Source organism: Homo sapiens, chromosome 1 (assembly GCF_000001405.40).
Source record: "Homo sapiens chromosome 1, GRCh38.p14 Primary Assembly".
NCBI lineage: Eukaryota > Metazoa > Chordata > Mammalia > Primates > Hominidae > Homo > Homo sapiens.
In genome coordinates this window covers 45,532,978-45,550,570 of record NC_000001.11, presented here as the reverse complement: position 1 = coordinate 45,550,570, position 17,593 = coordinate 45,532,978, and the positions used below count along the sequence as shown (strand labels likewise).

Genomic DNA, 17,593 nt, shown 5'->3' with positions numbered 1-17,593 from the left:
GGCCCAGAGAGCAGCTGCAACACCAAGATTGGCCAGAATACAGAAGACCTCGCGTCTGCAGATCCAGGCGCTGGAAAGTGCCTGGTCCCCCTGTCTGGACCATAGACCCCGCCCAGCACGTTATGTGCCAGGCACTGTGCTTAACACTTAATAAACATGGTTTTATTGAATCTTCATAATAATCCTGGAAAAGGAATATTCCTTTTTTTTTTTTTTTTTTGAGACGGAATCTCGCTCTCGCCCAGGCTGGAGTGCAGTGGCGCGATCTTGGCTCACTGCAACCTCCGCCTCCCTGGTTCAAGCAATTCTCTGCCTCAGCCTCCCGAGTAGCTGGGATTACAGGCGCCCGATACCACGCCTGGCTAATTTTTTTGTATTTTTTAGTAGAGACGGGGTTTCGCCATCTTGGCCAGGCTGGTCTTGAACTCCTGACCTCGTGATCCACCCGCCCTGGACTCCCAAAGTGCTGGGATTACAGGAGTGAGCCACTGCGCCTGGCCGAAAAGGAATATTCTTTTATTTCGTACAAGCCTTTTTAAAAATCGTAGTATAGCATATATACAGAAAATACACCAGTCTTTTTTTTTTTCTTTTTCTTTTTTTCCTATTCTACATCCAGGAAGAAAGAAAATGTATAAATCTTAAATGTATACAGTTCTTTTTTTTAAATTATTTTTTGCAATGTAACTGCCATCCAGAGGAAGATATTACCAGCACACCATAAGCCTGTGAGGAAAGTATTCATAATCCATTTTACAGATTGGACAGACTCAGCAAGGTTAAGGCTATTTATAATTTTCCCAAAGTCACACAGGTATTAATTAAATGACACATCTGCGATTTGAAATAGTCTGTGCTGTTTGAGTGGAGAGGTGTCTTGCATGTATGTGTTTTCCTTGGCAGGGATGGGCAAGACACAGGGTTATCTCGGTTTGGCTCTGCTTTTCCCCACACCTTTACTCCCTGAGAGCAACTCTTCCCATTTCCCCACCCCCGTTATCCCCCACTGTCTCCCCAACATAAGTGATGTCCTGGTGGACCAAATGTCTAATGTATCAGGCCATCCTCATAAAAACAATCAGACTTGGCCGGGTGCGGTGGCTCACGCCTGTAATTCCAGCACTCTGGGAGGCCGAGGCAGGCGGATCACCTGAGGTCAGGAGTTAGAGACCAGCCTGACCAACATGGAGAATCCCCGTCTCTATTAAAAATACAAAATTAGCCGGGCGTGGTGGCACATGCCTGTAATCCCAGCTACTCGGGAGGCTGAGGCAGGAGAATTGCTTGAACCTGGGAGGCGGAGGTTGTGGTGAGCTGAGATTGCGCCATTGCGCTCCAGCCTGGGCAACAAGAGTGAAACTCCATCTCAAAAAAAAAAAAAAAAAAAATTCAGCTAGGCGTCGTGGCGCGCACCTGTAGTCCCAGATACTCAGGACGCTGAGGCAGGAGAATCGCTTGAACCCGGGAGGCGGAGGTTTCAGTGAGCCGAGATCGAGCCACTGCACTCTAGCCTCTTGACAAAGCGAGACTGCCCCTCAAAAAAAAAAAAAAAAAAAAAAAAAAAAAAAAATTAGCTGGATGTATTGATGCGAGCCTGTAATCCCAGCTACTTGGGAGCCTGAGGCAACAGAATCACTTGAACCAGGGAGGCGGAGGTTGCAGTGAGCTGAGATCGCGCCACTGCACTCCAGCCTGTATTCAAAAAAAAATAAAATAGGCCAGGCATGGTGGCTCACGCCTGTAATCCCAGCACTTTGGGAGGCCGAGGTAGGCAGATCACCTGAGGTGAGGAGTTCGAGACCAGCCTGACCAACATGGAGAACCCCCATCTCTACTAAAAATACAAAATTAGCCAGGTGAGGTGGCACATCCCTGTAATCCCAGCTACTCAGGAGGCTGAGGCAGAAGAATCACTTGAACCCAGGAGGCAGAGGTTGCGTTTGGCAAGATTGTGCCATTGCACTCTAGCCTGGGCAGCAAGAGCAAAACTCTGTCTCAAAAAAAAAGGGGCCGGGCGCAGTAGCTCACGCCTGTAATCCCAGCACAAGGCGGGCAGATCACGAGGTCAAGAGTTCGAGACCAGCCTGGCCAATATGGTGAAACCCCGTCTTTACTAAAAATACAAAAATTAGCTGGGCATGGTGGCACGCGCCTGCAGTCCCAGCTACTCAGGAGGTTGAGGGAGGAGAATCGCCTGAACCCAGGAGGCAGAGGTTGCAGTGAGCCGCACCACTACACTCCAGCCTGGGTGACAGAGCAAGTCTCCGTCTCAAAAAAAAAAAAATACGTAAAAGAAGAACCTACAGGCCAGGCACAGTAGCTCATGGCTGTAATCCCGGCACTGTGGAAGACTAAGAAGGGAGGATCACTTGAGCCTAGTAGTTCAAGACCAGCCTGGGCAATATAGTGAAACCTCATCTCTACAAAAAATATAAAAATTAGCTGGGCACGGTGGTGCACACCTATAGTCCCAGGTGTTTAGGAGACTGAAGTGGGAGGATTGCTGGAGCCCAGGTCTTCGAGGCTGTAGTGTGTCATGATTGTGCCATTCTACTCCAGCCTAGACAACAGAGCAAAACCTTGTCTCTTTTTTTTTTTCCCCTCAAATTCTTTTTACCAAGGACCCTGTCTAAAAACAAACAGGCCAGGTGTGGTGGCTCACACCCGTAATCCCAGGACTTTGGGAGACCGAGGCGGGCCAATCACCTGAGGTCAGGAGTTCGAGGCCAGCCTGGCCAACATGGTGAAATCCCATCAATACTAAAAATACAAAAATTAGCTGGGCATGGTGGCAGGTGCCTGTAATCCCAGCTACTTGAGAGGCTGAGGCAGGAGAATTGCTTGAACCTGGGAGGCAGAGGTTGCAGTGAGCCGAGATGGTGCCACTGCACTCCAGTCTGGGCGACAGAGCAAGACTCCATCTCAAAAATAAATAATAATTTTTAAAAAACAAAAAAACAGAAGTGAGCAAATAAGAATATAAGAACAACCACTTTATTGAGCATCCACTACTTACCATAGTCTTTATATTCATGTTGTCTGATATCCACAGCAGAAACTTTTGGATTTGGTGGACATGAAGATCATTGGTGACCAATGTGGAGAGCTCCTTCAGTGGAATGGTTAATCCTGAGCCAGATGACCTGAATTCAGGAATGAACAGGAGATGAAGACATGGAGAATCAGAGGAAGGACTTCTCAAGGATACAGTAAAGGCCAGGGACAGTGGCTCATGCCTGTAATCCCAGCACTTTGGGAGGCCAAGGCAGGCAGATCACTTGAACCCAGGGGTTCTCAAGATCAGCCTGGGCAACATGGTGAAATCCCATCTCTACAAAAAATACAAAAATTAGCTGGGTATGGTAGCATGCACCTGTGTTCTCAGCTACTTGGGAAGCTGAGGTGGGAGGATCACCTGAGCCTGGGAGGCCAAGGCTGCAGTGAGCTGTGATCGCACCCACCACTACAAAGCCTAGGCAACTGAGTGAGACCCTGTCTCAAAAAAAAAAAAAAAAGTAAGAGGAAGAAAAGTTATGGGTTAATAGTGACTTGATGCAGATGGAGGGAGAGTTTTTCACTATGTGGGAAATGCGAGCATGACCACGTGCTAAGCAGCGGGGAAGGGTCCAGTGGAAGAGACAGGAGATATGAAAGTGGAGAAAATGATGGAGGGAAGCTGGGCGCGGTGGCTCAAGCTTGTAATCCCAGCACTTTGGGAGGCCAAGACGGGTGGATCACTTGAGATTAGGAGTTTAAGATCTGCCTGGCCAACATGGTGAAACCCCATCTCTAGTAAAAATACAAAAAATTAACTGGGCATGGTGGTGCACGCCTGTAATCTCAGCTACTTTGGAGGCTGAGGCATGAGAATCCCTTGAACTTGGATGGTGAAGGTTGCAGTGGGTCAAGATCATGCCACTGCACTCCAGCCTGGGTGACAGAGCGAGACTCTTGTCTCAAAAAAAAAAGAAAAAGAAAAAGAAAAAAAATAATGGGATAATTGTGGGGGGGATCATGGATCATACATTTAGCTAACATTTACTTAGCATATACTATGTCCTAGTCCTTTCACTGGGCACAAAAATGGACCAGCCTTGGCCGGGCACGGTGGCTCACACCTGCAATCCCAGCACTTTGGGAGCCAAGGTGGGAAGATCACTTGAGGTTAGGAGTTTGAGACGAGACTGGCCAACATGGTGGAACCCCATCTCTACTAAAAATAGAAAAATTAGGCACTCATTCTCTTTCCTGCCACCCTGTGAAGAGGTGCCTTCCACCTTGATTGTAAGTTTGCTGAGGCTTCCCCAGCCATGTGGAACTGAGTGACTCCATCTGCAGCTTTTATTAGAAATCAAGGGAAGCCACCAGAAGACGGAGCACTGAATGAGCTCTGCGGAGCTGAATCATCTAACCTGACCTCCAATTTAGAAGAAAGCCCCTCTGTGCGCACCTGCTAACCTGCCTGTCATCACCCTCACAGCTGTGCTGGGTCAGTGTCACAGACTCACCCATTCCAGAGTTACCATCTGATATGTGTAGGCTCATATGAAAAGTATGCTGTAATGTGAGGAAATAAATCCGACGGAAAAACAAAAATCAAAACAAACAAACAAAAAATACAAAAATTAGCCGGGTGTGATGGCAGGCACCTGTAATCCCAGCTACTCAGGAGAAGTGCTTGAACCCAGGAGGTGCAGGTTGCAATGAGCCAAGATTGTTCACTGCACTCCAGTCTGAGTGACAGAGTGAGATTTCATCACAAAAATTTAAAAAAAAAAAAAGGACCAGCCTTGTTCTCTGCCTTCAAGGTTCACAGTCCAGAGGGGCTAATGTAGAACAGGCAGAATGCATACCTATGTGTGTGTGCAGGGTTGGCCTTGTGTGGCGACAGAGGAGGCTGAAACAGATGAAGAGCTAGAAAGTGAGAATGGCTGTCTAGGAAGGAGAAGGGAGCATCCCTTTCTGGACAACTAGGCAGGAGGGAGGGAAAGGTTAAGTTCTCAGCACCCCTCACTGAACGTTTTAGCATTTGGCAGGGGTTTCTAGACCCTAAGAGGAATGTGGCCAGGTAGAAGAGATGAAGAAATAAATGCCTGCTGTCCAAGTCTCTGAGTTTGTCCCGGAGCTACCCCAGTGACTTATTTGCTGGCACTTCCTGCTTACTGTAGGCTAGGCTGTCTGAATGAGAATGAAGAACAGAGTTCAGGTTCCCAGAGGACCCATATACGAAGCAGGGCGATAAGGGGGCCTGAACAAGATCTTGACTTTATGCGTGGACCTTCTAGTGACATTGTAATGAGCGCACATTTAAGGAACATATTTAAGTTCCTTCTAATCCCCTATTAGGGCCGAATCATTCCTAAACTCTGGCCAGCTCTGAAACCAACTTCACAAGACCTGACTCATTTCCCCCAAGTAGTGAAAGTCCCTACACAGGTAGCTACTGGAAATGGCCCTGGGCCTGTGCACTGAGGCATTATTCTCCCTCTCAGGCCCCTCAAATCCTGTGGTCCCATTCAAGTGGCTGCTGAGAGCCAGCAAGGCTGGCACCAGGCCCTGGGGACTGCATTATGCAGTCAGCTACCTCATCTTTTGGGATCTGAGCTCCAATCCCCAATCCCACCAGAGTGACTTGGTCCTCAGAACCATTTATTGCTTTTTTCCTGATTATGCACCAAAGCAAAATTCTTAATTTCTTAAATATATGTTATTTATTTTTTGAGACAGAGTCTTACTCTATCATCTAGGCTAGAGTGCAGTGGCATGATCACGGCTCACTGCAGTGTTGACTTCCCAGGCTCAAACAATCCTCCCACCTCAGCCTCCCAAGTAGCTGGGACTACAACTGTCCACCACCGTGCTCAGCTAATTTTGTTTATTTTTTGTAGAGACGAGGTCTTACTATATTTGCCCAGGTGATCTCAAACTCCTGGGCTCAAGCGATCCTCCCACCTTGGCCTCCCAAAAGTGCTGCAGTTATAGGCATGAGCCACCAAGCTGGCCATGCTTACTTTTTTGAGTTGTTTGGGGATTAAATGAAACAATGGATGTAAAGTGCCTGGTGGTACATAGAGATTTAATGAGTGGTAATGATTATTATTTATATTCAAAATAGGCTGCTGCAAGCTAGGTTGAAATAGGAAAACTGTTCCCTCTTCTCCTACCCCTTCAAGTGAAACTACTACAAACTGCCACCCATCCCTGACAGAGACAGAACTCCAGAATAGAGGAGGAGGACTCTGCACAGGGTTGCAGTCTCTTTCTCTCTCATGCATGCGCACATATACACTCATGCACCCATGCAAGCACACTTACACCTGTACATGCACACACATGATTATGTAGAGCTACAGCTGTTGGCATAGAAGCTATAGTTATATCAGGGTAGGAATCAGTTCTATTATGGCAGTTACAAAGATCAATGCTGCAGTGAAGTGGTGGAAAGGAGGCTGCAGCCAACTGAAACCAATGGACTGGGACTGGAAAGTCGGGGGTGGGGGGAAGAGGAGGAAGTGGTGTGGGCTAGGGCAGGCAGGCAAGGGAATAACCGCTGACGGAAGCAGACAGCCTGTCATATGGCGGTGCGGATTTCCCCTGTCAACTGCATTTCCTAATTTTACGGTCTTCTGTTGCACATGTCACCCACAGAGGCTGCTCTGTGCTAAAAGTGGGTAGAAGTGATTGATTTATTCATTCGACTGACCAATATTTAATGATATCTACCATGTGCCAGGAGTTTTTTGGAAAAATAGACTGTTGTTGGGAAGGGAGTTAAAGGAAGCTGGAGAATGGTAGTCTGAGCAGAGGAATTGATATGTGCCAAGTTGTGGAGGAATGAAGCAGGATGTTACATTCCAGGAACTACATGTGGTTTGATAAGAAGGGAGCATAGGCTGGGTGGGAGGATCACATGAGGCCAGGGCAGCATACTGAGACCCTGTCTCTACAAAAATAGAGGTGTTGTGCACCTGTAGTCCTAGCTACAATGGAGGCTGAGGTGGGAGGATCACTGAAGCCCAGGAGTTTGAGGTTACAGTTAGCTATGATTGTGCCACTGCACTCCAGCCTGGATGACAAAGCAAGACCCTGTCTCTAAAAAAAAAAAAAAAAAAAAAAAAAAAGTATTACAAATTTAAATATATATACTTCAAAATACAAGTAGGAGAAAGAAAAAGAAAACATATATATAAGGCAATTTGATAATATATATGAAAATGTTAAATGTCCATCCCTTCTGATTCAGCAATTGTAAGGAACTTAGTTTTAGGAAATAATAGAAAAGGGACAAGGCTGTTTACTGTGTTGTTTAGATTACCCAAATCAGCTGAGCGTGGTGGCTCACGCCTGTAATCCCAGCACTTTGGGAGGCCAAGATTGGAGGATTGCTTGGGGCCAGCAGTTTGAGACCAGCCCGGGCAACATAGCGAGACCCTGTCTCTATTTTTAAAATATATTTTTAATATAAAAAAATTAAAACATATTACGTAAATATTTGTAGGAAGGGAATATCCAAAATAAATTGTTGTGCATCCATGTGATAAATACAGACACAACAAGGATAAAGTAAATATGTAAGTATTGTTGTGGAAAAAATGTCTTTGATATGTTGTTAAGTGGGGGGAAAAAAAAACTATGGGGTTACTAAAAGTGGGTTTGGCACCAGCTCTGTTCAGCCCTTCAGCTCCGAAGTTCAACGAAGTTCAAAGTCCTACGGCTTCCAAAGGCCAGTGTATCAGTTCCTGCCCCTGGATCAAGGTTGTGCAAGATGAGGGAGGAGGCTGGTCACAAGCCTGACATGGGGGTAGAGATTTCTTATCCAGCCCTGCCTCAGCCTTGACAGAGTTCAGGAGCCAGATCCCTGCATTGCAGCCTGGCTTCCTTCTCCAGGCAGAACGTGAGTAAAGGTTAAACATTCCTGGGTGCTAGGTACATAGTGGTGCCCTTCCTACTTCATTAGGATAAAAAGGTAACTTGTCTGAGCTCTACTAGTGCTGGGCTTTAAGAACCTGATTTCCTTTCTTTTTTTCTTCTTCTTTTTTTAAATCAGTTGGTTTAATTCCAGGTGATACATAATTTAGAGTAGAACAAAGACCAAAGGGCCAACTCTGGTAGGATTCTGGGCTGGGAGATGATAAGCCACTGTATGATTTTTCTTTTTTTTCTTTAAAGGTTTATTCTTTTTTTTTTTTTTTTTTTTAACATGGAGTCTTGCTCCGGAGTCTTGCTCCAGAGACTCTCCTTTGCACACCCAGAGTGCAATGGCGCGATCTTGGCTCACTGCAAACTCTGCCTCCCAGGTTCAAGCAATTCTCCTACCTCAGCCTCCTGAGTAGCTGGGATTACAGGTGCCTGACACAAGGCTCAGCTAATTTTTTTTGTATTTTTATTAGAGACGGGGTTTCACCATATTGATCAGGCTGGTCTTGAACTCCTGACCTCATGATCTACTCACCTCAGCCTCCCAAAGTGCTGGGATTACAGGCATGAGCTACAATGCCCAGCCAAAAGTTTATTCTTGCTCTATTGTGCAGGCTGGAGTGCAGTGGTATAATCATAGCTCAATGTAATCTCAAACTCCAGGCCTCAAGGGATCCTCTTACCTCAGTCTTCTGAGTAACTAGGGCTATAGGCACGCACCACTATGCGTTGCTAATTTTTTCACTTTTTTGTAGAGACAGTGTCTCTCTATGTTGCCCAGGCTGGTCTTGAACTTCCCGCCTCAAGTGATCTTCCCACCTCAGCCAGGCCCGTCCCTGAGACCTCCATTTTTTAGCTCTTGAGTTTCTTTTGCTTCCTTTTTTTTTTTTTTTCTTTTTGAGACGGAGTTTTGCTCTTGTTGCCCAGGCTGGAGTGCAATAGTGCGATCTTGGCTCACCACAACCTCTGCCCCTCGGGTTCAAGCGATTCTCCTGCCTCAGCCTCCAGAATAGCTAGGATTACAGGCATGCACCACCACGCCTGGCTAATTTTTGTATTTGTATATATATATATATATTTTTTTTTAGTATAAACAGGGTTTCTCCATGTTGGTCTGGCTGGTCTCGAACTGCTGACCTCAGGTGATCTGCTTGCCTTGGCTTTCCAAAGTGCTGGGATTACAGATGTGAGCCACCATGCCTGGCTTTTTGCTTCCTTTTGTTTTGTTTTTATGTTATCTTTTGTTTTGTTTTGGTTTGGTTTTTTGCTTCCCTTTTTTTTTTTTTTTTTTTTGAGACAGGATCTCACTCTGTCACCCAGGCTAGATCATGGATCTCACAATGGTGTGATCATGGTTCATTGCAGCCTTGATCTCCTGGGCTCAAGTGATACTCCCACCTCAGCCTCCTGACTATAGGTGTCCTGGGACTACAGGTGTACACCAGCACACTTGGCTAATTTTTAAAATTTTTGGTAGAGACAGGGTTTTGCCATTTTGGCCAGGCTAGTCTCGAACTCCTGGACTCAAGTGATCTTCTAGCCTCAGCCTCCCAAAGTGCTGGGACTACAACCATGAGCAACCATGCCTGGCCTGGCCTGCTTCTCTTTTTGTTTCTGCTTAAAAGCGTCATCTTAGTCATTCATCTCCTCGGCCTGCTCCTTGTGCTGTTTCAGGGGCTTCTTGCCGTCTTTGTGGCCAGACATGGCGCCTGCTGTACTTTTACCTCATTTCTTTTTCTAGGGATTCTAGCAATAAGCCTTTGATATAAGGCTGCCATGTTAGTCATAGACCAATTATAGCCAAGCTACTTGGCTTGACTGTGTTCTTGTCCAGTTGGAGACAAGATATTTGAGTCTATTTCGGAGAGGCAACAGGATTTCAGGGTCACCAGAAGCAAATGGCACTCAATGAACATTAATTAAGCTCCACATAAGCCTGGGACACTAGTAAGAAGCAAAATACCTTCTTCATTAGATAAAATCCTTCAGGATCTCTGAGCATTGGACAGACCGAGATATTATTATTTAAATGGCCAATTAGAAGTTAATTAGAACTCTGGAGTTCCCTGGCCAGACCCTGTCTGAAAACCCCCTTGAGATTGAAGCAGCAAATCCAGTTTATAGCACTGATCAAAAACATCTCCAGTGAAAATCCCCACACTGGTTTGTCCCACCTAAGGCAGTAGGGGCCCAATTCTTACACACTTAAAAAATAGCTACTCTGGGCTGGGTGTGGTGGCTCACGCCTGTAATCCCAGCACTTGGGGAGGCCGAGACGGGTGGATCACAAGGTCAGGAGATCCAGACCATCCTGGCTTACACGGTAAAACCCCATCTCTACTGAAAAATACAAAAAATTAGCTGGCCGTGGTGGCACGCACCTGTATTCCCAGCTACTTGAACCTGGGAGGTAGAGGTTGCAGTGAGCCAAGATCACACCACTGCACTCCAGCCTGGCAACAAAGCAAGACTCCATCTCAAAAAACAAACAAACAAAAATTACTACTCTGGGCTGGGCACAGTGGCTCACAACTGTAATCCCAGCACTTTGGAAGGCTGAGGCAGGTGGATCACCTGAGGTGGGGAGTTCAAGACCAGCCTGACCAACATGAAGAAACCCCATCTCTACTAAAAATACAAAATTAGCTGGGCATGGTGGTGCATGCCTGTAATCCCAGCTACTCGGGAGCCTGAGGCAGGAGAATCGCTTGAACCCGGGAGGCAGAGGTTACGGTGAGCCGAGATCATGCCACCGCACTCCAGTCTGGGCAACAAGAGCAAAACTCCGTCTCAAAAAAAAAAAAGCTACTCTGGGGCCAGATGTGGTGGCTCATGCCTGTAATCCCAGCACTTTGGAAGGCCGAGGCAGGCGGATGATGAGGTCAGGAGTTCGAGACCATCCTGGCTAACACGGTGAAATCCCATCTCTACTAAATATACAAAAAATTAGCCGGTCATAGTGGCGGGCACCTGTATTCCTAGCTACTTGGGAAGCTGAGGCAGGAGAATGGCATGAACCCAGGGGGCGGAGCTTGCAGTGAGCCGAGATCGTGCCACTGCACTCCAGTCTGGGCGACAGAGCGAGACTCCGTCTCAAAAAAAAAAAAAATTAGCCGGGTGTGGTGGCAGGTGCCTGTAATCCCAGCTACTCAGGAGGCTGAGGCAAGAGAATTGCTTGAAACCAGGAGGCGGAGGTTGCAGTGAGCCGAGATTGCACTACCACACTCCAGTCTGGGCAACAGAGCAAGATTCCATCTCAAAAGAAAAAGAAAAAGAAAAATGCCTGTATTTCCCCCCCTCCCCCTCCAGGAAGGAGAAGGATAGAAGTTACAGTGCAATTCTCAGGCTTAGATTAGTTCTCCATAAGTAAAGCTCACTCCTGTCAGCAGTTCCACGCCACCATCCAAAGTGGCTGTGTTTGGCTCCGTTTTAGAGGAGGCTGACTTACCACACTCTCTGCTTCCAACAAACTCAGAAAATAGTAATAAGTATATTAATTTTATATTTAATCTTCTTGCTAACATATGGTAGAAGGAAGCAGGTACTAAGATCTTTGAAAATGGGGAAATTGAGACTGATTAATTCAGCAAATATCTGTTCAGCACTTTCTTTTCTTTTCTTTTCTTTTCTTTTCTTTTTTTTTTTTGAGGCGGAGTCTCGCTCTGTCGCCCAGGCTGGAGTGCAGTGGCGTGATCTGGGCTCACTGCAAGCTCCGCCTCTCCGGTTCACGCCATTCTCCTGCCTCAGCCTCCCGAGTAGCTGGGACTACAGGCGCCCGCCACGACGCCCGGCTAATTTTTTGTATTTTTTAGTAGAGACGGGGTTTCACCATGTTAGCAGGATGGTCTTGATTTCCTGACCTTGTGATCCGCCCGCCTCGGCCTCCCAAAGTGCTGGGATCATAGGCGTGAGCCACCGCGCCCGGCCCTGTTCAGCACTTTCTCTGCTGACATGAATATGGGACTTGTACACTTATGACAGATACCAATAAATTGGGTGAGGGCAGGATTCCATCAGTCTCCTGGCTCCAACATGTCCTCTTTGCATCGTCATGACACTCAAAAATAAGATCACCAAATATGGCCGAGCATGGTGGCTTATTCCTGTAATCCCAGCACTTTGGGAGGCTGAGGCGGGTGGGTCACTTGAGGTCAGGAGTTCGAGACCAGTCTGACCAACATGGCGAAACCCCGTTTCTACAGAAAATACAAAAACTAGCCGGGCTTGGTGGTGCACGCCCATAGTCCCAGCTACTCAGGGAGCTAAGGCAGGAGAGTTGCTTGAACCCGGGAGGTGGAGGTTGCAGTGAATTGAGATCACGCCACTGCACTCCAGCCTGGGCAGCAGGCTGAATGAAAAAGATTCAGACTGAAAAAAACAAAAAGGGCCAGGTGCGGTGGCTCACACCTGTAATCCCAGCACTTTGGGAGGCCAAGGCAGGTGGATCACCTGAGGTCAGGAGTTCGAGACCAGCCTGGTCAATATGGTAAAATGCTGTCTCTACTAAAAATACAAAAATTAGCTGGGTGTGGTGGTGGGTGTCTGTAGTCCCAGCTACTCGGGAGGCTGAGGCAGGAGAATCACTTGAACCCAGGAGGCAGAGGTTGCAGTGAGCCAAAATCACACCATTGCACTCCAACCTGGGTGACAAGAGCAAGACTCTGTCTTTATAAAATAAAAAAGGCCGGGTGCGGTGGCTCATGCCTGTAATCCTAGCACTTTGGGAGGCCAAGGTGGGTGGATCACGAGGTCAGGAGATTGAGACCATCCTGGCCAACATGGTGAAACACTGTCTCTACTAAAAATACAATAATTAGCTGTGTGTGGTGGCGCACACCTGTAGTCCCAGCTACTCCGAGGCTGAGGCAGGAGAATAGCTTAAACCCGGCAGGCGGAGATTGCAGTGAGCCGAGATCACACCACTGCACTCCATCCTGGTGGACAGAGCAAGACTCTGTCTCAAAAAACAAAAACAACAGCAACAAAAAACAAGCAAACCAACAAACAAAAAAAGATCACCAAATGTGTAGCTAGCCACATGAGAGCAACCTTCTGCCTGAAGCATTCATGTATTCATTCTTCATTCACTGAACACCAACTATTTACTGGTGATATGCTAGATGTTGGTATGCAGAGGTGAAGATATGGCCCTGCCCTCAAGGAATGCATAGTTCAATGCAATGGTTGTATCGGTTTCTATTCAATGCTCTGAGATACTTACAACCACCATAACCTTGACTCACAAAGATCATGGTCCAAAGGGGGAAAAGAAACATAAATTATAAACAATTATGGAACTATGTAAGCATATGATAGAAATATGCACAGGGTATGGTGGAAATACAGAGGAAGGGGCACTGAAAATCAGACTGGGAATAAGGAGGTTGTCAGGAAAGCTACCACTGAACTGGTAACACTTAAGCCCAATTTTTTCAAGCAGGATTTAGGCAAAGAGTAAGTGGAGAGAATTGGGGAGAGCACTGAGATCTGCAACATACACTCCGGGGATTGCAAATAGTGCTTTACGGCTAGAGCGGCAGGAGGTGTATATGAGGGAGGAGTGACAAGGGGTCAGAGGGTAGAGAGCCTCGTGTGTCAAGCTAAGGAAGGAGGTTGAACTTGATACTAAGCTAAATGCTATAGGAAGATATCAGCAGGGGTTTGGAAAGCAGGTCAGTTAAGGAGCAGCTGGGGAAATGGGGCTGTTTAAGTTAAAGAAGAAAAGAGGGGAGATAAATCTTCTGGTTTGAAACATATACTGAGTGAAATTGTTTTATTTTATAATTAGAAAGGGCCAAGCTTTCTCCTGGTTCAGCAAACCATCTCTGATGAGCAGGTTAGGGGCAGGTTACCAGACCACCCACTATTCCCTTTTGTCAGATGCTCAGACTGCTCAACCGTAAGGGTTGGTCCTGCCTCAGAACCCACTCTGGTCATAGAGATCTCAAACTAGGGTCCATCTGTCAGGCCTGACATTTCTCTAGGGGAAGGTGGAAGGAGAGAATTAGAGATGTCTCTAGTTGCAGAATTATGGCCTGCAGTGGGCCAAAGGAACATGACTAAGACCTCACAAAAGACAAGATTCTATCTTGTGGTGAGGGGTGTGGTTGGGGGTAGGAATTAATCAGAGTGAAGCATTCTTGCCTAGAGGTAAAGCTCTCCTTTTTCATGTGTATGCTTTTTCAGAGCCTTTTGTCATTTGTCAACATGATAAATTTTGGGCAGAGTGGCACTCAAGAGCAATATGAAGACAGATTACAGTGGGTGTGAGTCTTTCTAGTCCCGACATCATCACTCTCCTAATTGCAGTGCTTTTGGCAAGCAAGCTTCCTAATTTCTGGAAGCTTTGGCCAGGATGGATAGCTAGAAGTAACGTATGAATACATGAAAGAAGTAAAAGATTTTTCCCCTGCCTCTAGGCAGAGCTGACCCTGCCAGCCAGGACAAACAGGACAAATAGGTCAGAAGGTTAGATAAACTAGGAGTCCTCTAGTCATTTTTTTGACCTTCTCTAACTCAGCGGTTCTCAACCTGGGGAGACAGTTGGCACCGTGTGTGGGGGGTGCTACTGGCATCTAGAGGGAAGAGGCCAGGATACTGCTAAACATCCTATTACACATAGGACGGTCCCTCCATAACAAAGAATTATCAAACCTAAAATGCCAATAGTGTTGAGATTAAGAAATAACCGAAAAGTGCTTCTACTTACAGAGACTTGGTTCTAAAAAAAAGAATCTGAGAATTAATCAGTTGCTGAAGCATCAGGTAGCTAGAGATAAAAACCAACTTTAGTATTCCAAGTTGGCTTCATGATTGATCCAATTTGGACATGTTCCCTTTACTGCTCTGGTCTGGACTATATCTCTACATTCATTCTTGATCCCCTAAAATTGGAGGGGAAAGAAGAGGGAAGAAAAGAAGAAAAATCAATATTTTATGTCTCTAGTTTCATCTTCTGGGAAAATGAAAACTTGAAGCTAAAATCCATAGCGTTCAATATCCTAAATGGGTGCCTTATTTAATAATGAAAAGCAGCATAGTATTAACCAGGACAGCAATAGAAGAACAATTATCAAATCATACTTGAATTTAAGGTTGATATCTGATAGAAAATATAAGAATTGAGGCTGGGTGCAGTGGCTCACGCCTGTAATCCTAGCACTTTGGGAGGCCGAGGTGGGCAGATCACGAAGTCAAGAGATCGAGACCATCTTGGCCAACATGGTGAAACCCTGTCTCCACTAAAAATACAAAAATTAGCTGGGCATGGTGACACATGCCTGTAGTCCCAGCTACTCGGGAGGCTGAGGCAGGAGAATCGCTTGAACCCCAGAGGCGGAGGTGGCAGTGAACCAAGATTGTGCCACTGCACTTCAGCCTGGCAACAGAGCAAAATTCTGCCTCAAAAAAAAAAAAAAAATTGAAATGTCAGATTTGTAAAAATAAAAAATAAAATAATGAGTGGAAGTCAATGTAAACCCAGAAACAAGTTCAAGCCTGGCATGGTGGCATACTCCTGTAATCTCAGCTATTCAGGAGGCTTAGGCGGGAGAATTCACTTGGGCTGGGGAGTTTAAGGCGGCAGTGACCCATCATCAGCCACTGCACTCCAGCCAGGATGACAGAGCAAGACCCCATCTCTCCTTTTTTTGGTTGTTTTTGGAGACAGGGTCTCACTCTGTTGCCCAGGCTGGACTGCAGTGGCATGATCACAGCTCACTAAAGCCTCACCCTCCAAGGCTCAAGCAATCCTCCCACCTCAGCCTCCCAAGTTCCTGGGACTACAGGTACCTACCACCACACATAGCTAATTTTTAATTTTTGTAGAGATGGGGTCTTACCATGTTGCCCAGGCTGGTCTTGAATTCCTAGGCTCAAGTGATTCTACTGCCTTAGCACCCCGAAAATGCTGCAACTATAGGCATGAGCCAGCACTCACAGCCCACTTCATCTCTCAAAAAAAAAAAAAAAAGCCGGGTGCGGTGGCTTATAATCCCAGCACTTTGGGAGGTCGAGGCGGGTGAATCACCTGAGCTCAGGAGTTCGAGACAAGCCTGACCAGTATGGTGAAACCCTGTCTCTACTAAAAATACATTAGCCAGGAGTGGCGGCAGGCACCTATCATTCCAGCTACTCGGGAGGCTGAGGTTGGAGAATTGCTTGAACCTGGGAGGCAGAGGTTTACAGTGAACCAAGATTGAGCCACTGCACTCCAGCCTGGGTGACAGAGCAAGACTCCGTCTCAAAAAAAAGGCCAGGCGTGGTGGCTCATGCATGTAATCCTAGCACTTTGGGAGGCCAAGAGGTCCCCACCTGAGGTCAGGAATTAGAGACCAGCCTGGCCAACATGGCGAAACCCTGTCTCAACTAAAAATACAAAAATTAGCCAGGCGTGGTGGTGCATGCCTGTGATCCCAGCTACTCGGGAGGCCGAGGCAGGAGAATTGCTTGAACCTGGCAGGCAGAAGTTGCAGTGAGCTGAGATTGCGCCACTGCACTCTGGCCTGGTCAACAGAGCAAGATGCCATCTCAAAAAGAAAAGAAAAGAAAAGTTCAAATAAAGATTAGGTAGGCTGGGAGTAGCAGTTCACACCTGTAATCCCAGCACTTTGGGAGGCCAAGGTGGGAGAATCTCTTGAGCCCAGGATTTCAAGACCAGCCTGGGCAATATAGTGAGACCTCATCTCTTAAAAAAAAAGACAGGTAAAGAGCAACTTAAATACATTTATTTTTTATTTTTTAAATGAATTAAAAAATTTTTTTTTTGGAGACTGGGTCTTACTATGTTGTCCAGGCTGGAAGTAGAGCAGACATTTTGTGACCATAGGGTTATCATAAGAATAAAAGTAGGCCAGACTCACGGCTGTAATCCCAGAACTTTGGGAGGCCGAGGCGGGCAGATCATGAGGTCAGGAGATCGAGACCATCCTGACCAACATGGTGAAACCCCATCTATACTAAATATACAAAAATTAGCTGCTCATGGCAGTGCGTGCCTGTAGTCCCAGCTACTTGGGAGGCTGAGGCCGGAGAATCGCTTGAACCAGGGAGTTGGAGGTTGCAGTGAGCTGAGTTCCTGATACAGTGTGGAGTGATCATACCAGTTTTTAACTTGTATTTTTTTTTTTTCTAATCAAAAAACTATAGTCACAGCACTTTGGGAGGCCAAAGGAGGAGGACTGCTTGAGCCCAGGAATTGAAGACAAGTCTGGGCAACATAAAGAGTCTCTGTCTAAACAACAAAAAAAAATTTTTTTTTTTTTTTTGAGACAGAGTCTCACTCTGTCACCCAGGCTGGAGTGCAGTGGCGCAATCTCAGCTCACTGCAAGATCCGCCTCCCGGGTTCACGCCATTCTCCTGCCTCAGCCTCCCGAGTAGCTGGGACTACAGGCGCCTGCCATCACGCCAAGCTAATTTTTTGTATTTTTAGTAGAGACGGGGTTTCACTGTGTTAGCCAGGATGGTCTCCATCTCCTGACCTCACGATCCACCCACCTCAGCCTCCCAAAGTGCTGGGATTACAGGTGTGAGCCACCGCTCCTGGCCAACAAAAAAAAATGTTTTAGGTCGGGCGTGGTGCCCAGCACTTTGGGAGACCAAGGCAGGCGGACCACCTGAGGTCAGGAGTTCGAGACCAGCCTGGCCAATATGGTGAAACCCCATCTCTACTAAAGA

The 17,593-nt window shown here is 46.6% G+C and overlaps 7 annotated features.

Moving 5' to 3' along the window:
- Positions 3–62: an enhancer, noted in NCBI's record as "active region_977". NCBI's record gives its function as "activates an Ori minimal core promoter by ATAC-STARR-seq in GM12878 lymphoblastoid cells {active_cell/tissue: GM12878}" and the evidence as "EXISTENCE:reporter gene assay evidence [ECO:0000049][PMID:35858748]".
- Positions 4,685–4,864: an enhancer, noted in NCBI's record as "active region_976". NCBI's record gives its function as "activates an Ori minimal core promoter by ATAC-STARR-seq in GM12878 lymphoblastoid cells {active_cell/tissue: GM12878}" and the evidence as "EXISTENCE:reporter gene assay evidence [ECO:0000049][PMID:35858748]".
- Positions 5,555–5,604: a silencer, noted in NCBI's record as "silent region_831". NCBI's record gives its function as "represses an Ori minimal core promoter by ATAC-STARR-seq in GM12878 lymphoblastoid cells {active_cell/tissue: GM12878}" and the evidence as "EXISTENCE:reporter gene assay evidence [ECO:0000049][PMID:35858748]".
- Positions 6,661–6,710: an enhancer, noted in NCBI's record as "active region_975". NCBI's record gives its function as "activates an Ori minimal core promoter by ATAC-STARR-seq in GM12878 lymphoblastoid cells {active_cell/tissue: GM12878}" and the evidence as "EXISTENCE:reporter gene assay evidence [ECO:0000049][PMID:35858748]".
- Positions 6,731–6,880: an enhancer, noted in NCBI's record as "active region_974". NCBI's record gives its function as "activates an Ori minimal core promoter by ATAC-STARR-seq in GM12878 lymphoblastoid cells {active_cell/tissue: GM12878}" and the evidence as "EXISTENCE:reporter gene assay evidence [ECO:0000049][PMID:35858748]".
- Positions 11,300–11,800: an enhancer, noted in NCBI's record as "H3K4me1 hESC enhancer chr1:46004443-46004943 (GRCh37/hg19 assembly coordinates)". NCBI's record gives its function as "activates a minimal SCP1, AML or CMV promoter by ChIP-STARR-seq in naive H9 embryonic stem cells {active_cell/tissue: H9 hESC(naive)}" and the evidence as "EXISTENCE:reporter gene assay evidence [ECO:0000049][PMID:30033119]".
- Positions 11,801–12,301: an enhancer, noted in NCBI's record as "H3K4me1 hESC enhancer chr1:46003942-46004442 (GRCh37/hg19 assembly coordinates)". NCBI's record gives its function as "activates a minimal SCP1, AML or CMV promoter by ChIP-STARR-seq in naive H9 embryonic stem cells {active_cell/tissue: H9 hESC(naive)}" and the evidence as "EXISTENCE:reporter gene assay evidence [ECO:0000049][PMID:30033119]".